The 5,670-nt window shown below is 38.0% G+C and overlaps 1 pseudogene; it reads right to left on the reverse strand.

The window, feature by feature from the left end:
* Positions 1 to 2,080: 2,080 nt before the first annotated feature.
* CDK2AP1P1 (CDK2AP1 pseudogene 1) lies at positions 2,081 to 3,382 on the reverse strand (annotated as a pseudogene).
* Between the last annotated feature and the right edge of the window lie 2,288 nt (positions 3,383 to 5,670).

The raw sequence follows: 5,670 nt of genomic DNA on the forward strand, positions 1-5,670 counted from the left end.
AAAATATATATACACACACACACACACACACACACACACACACACACACATATATATATATATACACACACACACACATATATACCAGGCTTGCTGGGTTATTTTCCAGTGGTAGAAAGAAAGCTTTCCCCACTGGATAAAGTTTAGAGTTGACACAGGAAACAGAAAACGAAGTTGGATTTTGATTGTGTCACAGTCACACTTGTTCAATGTACTGCTTCTATAAACATGATGAAAACAAAAAAGTTATACTTTTAAAAGGTAAAATTTTTAAAACCATGACAATCAAGTAATAAATATTTATAAGATGCATACAAAAAATAGCTGCATGATTTAAACATGTGAAGAACTCCTTGATCTAGGCTTAAGATTGGCCAGTTGGGTGACTAATGCTGGCATTAAACCTAGATGCTTCCTTAATTCAGGATGAGTGGTGCCCCTGCTTGGTGATGTGATACAGATGGGGCACCTTGGCAGTCCACCGCCATTTGGATGCAATCTTAATATGGGAATGATAGCCCATCTAGACTACCAGGGGTGAAACGATGGGAGCAGTCATTCTTACCATCCCTGCTTCCAGAAAGTCATACTGAGGCTGGGCGCAGTGGCTCACGCCTGTAATCCCAGCACTTTGGGAGGCCAAGGTGGGTGGATCACTTGAGGTCAGGAGTTCAAGACCAGCCTGGCCAACATGGTGAAACCCTGTCTCTACTAAAAATACAAATATTAGCCGGGTGTGGTGGCGGGCGCCTCTAGTCCATTACTTGGGAGGCTGAGGCAGGAGAATTGCTTGAACCTGGGAGTCGGAGGTTGCAGTGAGCTGAGATCGCACCACTGCACTCCAGCTTGGGTGACACAGCGAGACTGTCTCCAAAAAAATAAATAAATAAAAATAAAAGTCATGCTGAAATGTTCAGTATATGAATGTCTGAAACATTCATGACAGAGTCTGTTAATTTATATGGTCTGTGTAACCATGTTTCTACCTACTGTGCCCAATGTATTTTTTCTGTAATATACATTAAAATAATTATTGAGTCAAAAAAAGGTTCAGCAATATGTGTCTGACATCATCGTGCATATTATACTCTCCCAGCATCCTCAGGCCTTGTTTTACCTAGCAGATGCTGTCTCTCACTGAGCTCAGCCCACTGCCTCTTTGGAGGGTAAAGCCTCTATGGTTTTCCATTCTTGTCATGTTCTCTGGGTTCCAATCCTCTGAACAGATTCAAATCTGCTTTTCCTTCAGGATTTCTCTATATCTCCTTGCAGTTTTTTTTTTTTTTTGGAGACAGTCTTGCTCTGTTGCCCAGGCCAGAGTGAAGTGGCATGATGTCGGCTCACTGCAGCCTCCACCTCCCAGATTCAAGCGATTCTCATGCCTCAGCCTCCTGAGTAGCTGGGACCACAGGTGCCCACCACCACGCCTGGCTAATTTTTGTATTTTTGTTAGAGATGGGGTTTCACTATGTTGGCCTGGCTGATCTCAAACTCCTGACCTCAGGTGATCCACCCACCTCGGCCTCCCAAAGTGCTGGGATTATAGGTGTGAGCCACTGCACTTGGCCTCCTTTCAGTTTTATCAATTTTTGCTTTACATAGTTTGCAGCTCTGTTGTTTGGTACAAGCACATGTAGGATTGCTATATGTCATTGGTAGATTGACTCTTTTATTACATAGTATCCTTCTCTGGTAATTTTCTTTGTTCTGAAGTCTACTTTATGAATATTGTTAATATTAAGTCTATGTGATTGATATGACCATTTCTGCTTTCCTTTGATTAATGTTTGCATGGTATATCTTTTTCCATCCTTTTACTTTCAACCTGCCTATATCATTATATTTAAAGCAAGTTTTTTGCACAGAGCATTTAGTTGGATCATGTTTTTAAAACCAATCTACCAATCTCTTTTAGTTAATGCATTTAGACTATTTGCATTTAATGTAATTGTTCATCTGTTAGGGTCTAATTATTTATTTTTATTTACTTATTGTTAATGAACATAAGCTTTATTACATCAAATAATAAATACATATAAATCTGCAAGTAGTTTTAGTCATTTTGAAATATGTTTTGATGAACTTACAGCAAACATAGAACTAAAATCTACATACAATCTTAGTAAAAAATAGTTAAGTTTAGTTGGTTACTCCTTATTCTGTATTTATAACTTGTGCATCTTTAATTTCAAAGCATTGATAGTGATGCAATACTTAAGCAAAAAAGAACTTATAGAGAATGTATACTGTATGGCAAACCAGGGACTGGCTACTAAGTAAAGAGTGCTGTCAGTATTCATCAAAAATAAAATTCATAGAGGTGTATTACTTTATGGAATGGAACAAAAAACAATTTAGGTGCATGAATGTATTCAAAAGAGAAGATTAATGTGCAACACTGGTATCTTGGAGGCAAGCAACAGTTTGCTGTAGGACAAAAAACTTTTACCTGCATCTTTTAAATCAATGCTTTAAAAAATCTGAGTAGCTCTAACTACTTAAAATGCAAATCCTAATCAACTGTAAGATCTTTGCTAGTTTGAGAACCTACTGAGCCACGGGAAAGAAACCAGGAAGAAAAACCAAATGATTACCATTTTGAAAACATGTTTCATCTGGACAGGGGAGATGAACTGTAACTTCCTATCTTGTAAAAAGATGGAATACCTCGCAAAACTATGAAGGTGGTTAGAATCTGGCATTCCATTCTGTTTTAACCAAGCACTCCCAAACTAGTCCTTTAGCATGAGTGATAACTTGTTTTGGTCTCTTCATTGTGCTCTTGCTCCCTGTACAGGTGGATCTGATCACTCCCTCAGCTCTTGGATGATAGCCAGCAGTTTAGCACATTTGCTTTGGGGTCACTTGGCTGTTTCCAGTTCCCTGGGTGTAGCCTAGGGATGGTGGCCTATAGTCACTCAGCAGCTGGTGGTACTGTGAGAATAATACCATATGGGTAGAAGGTGACATGGAAGGTGACAAGCTCTCAGCTGAGTTGAGGGAGGTGGTAGGCATTTTCAAGGTCAAGTTTAGTTTGTATGACATTCTTTCATCTCCATTCCCAGTAGCAGATTTTTATACACACACACACACACACACACACACACACACACACACACAGACACACACACACACAGACTGGTGCTGAAAACTGTGGCTGTCTTCCAGAAGCCCAGAGAATTTTGGGCTTTGGGATTAGAGGCTAAAAACCCTAGATATGATCAAGAGTGATCTGTTCCCTGTTGTGCACACAGCATATCAGGACACTTTGGCTTGTAGCTTCCTAATACACGTTCTTATCCATCTGTCCTCCAGGAAAGATACAATAGGACAGATAGACACACAGATGTACACATGCACACACACACACACTCCAACATATTTGAACAAGGCTAATAGAAAAATGAAATGAATTGAATATAGGAAAGGGTACAAAAATAATTTATTAGAAGGAATGGTGTGGGACAAAGCTAGCATTTATTGATCACCCACTATGTGTCAGATATCCCATTATTTCATTTAATTATTTTCTTTTTTCATGGACAAATAAAAATTGTATACATTTATGGTATAAAACATATTTTGAAGTATGTACATTGTGAAAGGGCTAAGTCAAGCTAATTAACCTACATGTTACCTCATGTACTTATCTTTTATTTGTGGTGAGAACACTTAAAATCTACTCTATTAGCATTTTTCAAGTATACAATACATTGGTCTTAAATTTAGTCACCATGTTGTAAAATAGATCTCAAATCATTTAATTTTTCAAGTTGGTATTATTACTCTCCTTTTACAAATAAGTAAACTGAGGCTCAGGGAGATTAAATAGTTTGTCTAATGTCACGTCTAATAACTGGCAGAGCCCAAATTCAAACTTTAATTTGTTGGATTTGAAAACCTTTGGCTTTGCTGTCTGTCTCTTATGGAAGAAGGTGGAGCTTGGGGGAACTGGCATTAGGAGATTAGGTAATAGAGATGGTTGGTTAAGTCCATGAGGTGGCCACAGAGGATGGATGTGGCTGGATTTCACTGTCTTCCTCCACCCCTCCTATTCTCATAGTTGTGATATACATTGCCTCAGAGTTGCAGCTTTCTTTCTTCCCAGGATGAATTTTAAAAAAAAATTTAATTAACAAAAAATACTTTTAATAACCAAATAGTTATAGGGTACCATGTGATATTTTGATCTATGTTTTATACACATTTGAGAAAGATTAATGAAGCTAATTAATATATCTACCTCACCAACTCATAATTTTTTGTTGGGAGATTAATAGTGAAGAGACAATAAAAGAATAGTTAAAAATCTATTCTTTTAGCAATTTTGAAATATATGATACATTATTATTAACTGTGGTCACCTATCATACAGTGCAATAGGTCACTAAAACTTATCCCTCCAGTCTAACTGAAACTTGGTACTTTTTGGTGATTAACATTGTCCCTTTCCTTATCCCTTCTCCTGCCCCAGCCTCTGATAACCACCTTCTACTCTTTGTTTCTATGAGATTGACTTTTTTTGATTTTCCATATAAGTAAAATCACAGTATTTCGTCTTTCTGTGCCTGGCTCATTTCACTTAACACAAATTCCTCCAGTTCCAGCTATGTTGCTGTGAAGAACAGAAGTTCCTTCTTTTTGAAGGTTGTATAGTATTGCATTGTGTATATATGCCACCATTTCTGTGTCCATTCATCCTTTGATGGACACTTAATTTGAATCCATATCTTGGCTATTGTGAATAATGCTGAAATGAATATGGTAGTGCAGGTATCTCTTAGATACACTAATTTCAAATTTCAATTTCTTTGGAAACAGGATGACTGGATCGTATGGTCATTCTATTTTTAGGTGTTTTTTGTTGTTGTTGTTTGTTTGTTTTTTGTTTTGTTTTGTTTTGAGATGGAATTTCACTGTTGTCGCCCAGGCTGGAATGCAATGGTGCGATCCCAGCTCACTGCAATCTCTGCCTCCTGGGTTCAAGAGATTCTCCTGCCTCAGCCTCCTGAGTAGCTGGGATTACAGGTGCCTGACACCATGCCTGGCTGATTTTTGTATTTTTAGTAGAGACTGAGTTTCACCATGTTGGCCAGCCTGGTCTCAAACTCCTGGCCTCAGGTGATCTGCCTGCCTCAGCCTCCCAAAGTGCTGGAATTACAGGCATGAGCCACTGCTCCCAGCCTTATTTTTAGTTTTCTTGAGGCACCTCCACACTATTTTCCAAAATGGCTGTACTAATTTCCATTCCCAACAACAGTATACAAGGGTTCCCTTTTCTTCACATACTTACCAACCCTTGTAATCATTCAGCTTTTTGATAATAGTCATTTTAACAGATGTAAGGCTATATCTCATTGTGGTTTTAATTTGCATCTCCCTGATAATTAGATATGTCTGAACATTTTTTTCATATATCTGTTGGCCACTTGTATCTTTCTTTGAGAATTGTCTGTTCAGATCTTTTGCCCATTTTAAAACCAAGTTATTTGTTTTCTTGCAATTGAGTTTCTTATATATTTTGGATATTAGCCCCTTATCAGACATATGGTTTGCAAATATTTTCTCCCAGTCCATGGGTTGTCTCTTCACTTAATTGCTGGCTTTGCTGTGCAGAAACTTTTTAGTTTGGTGCAATCCCATTTGTCTATTTTCACTTTGGTTGCCTGT

This window comes from Homo sapiens, chromosome 3, assembly GCF_000001405.40.
Source record: "Homo sapiens chromosome 3, GRCh38.p14 Primary Assembly".
Lineage (NCBI taxonomy): Eukaryota > Metazoa > Chordata > Mammalia > Primates > Hominidae > Homo > Homo sapiens.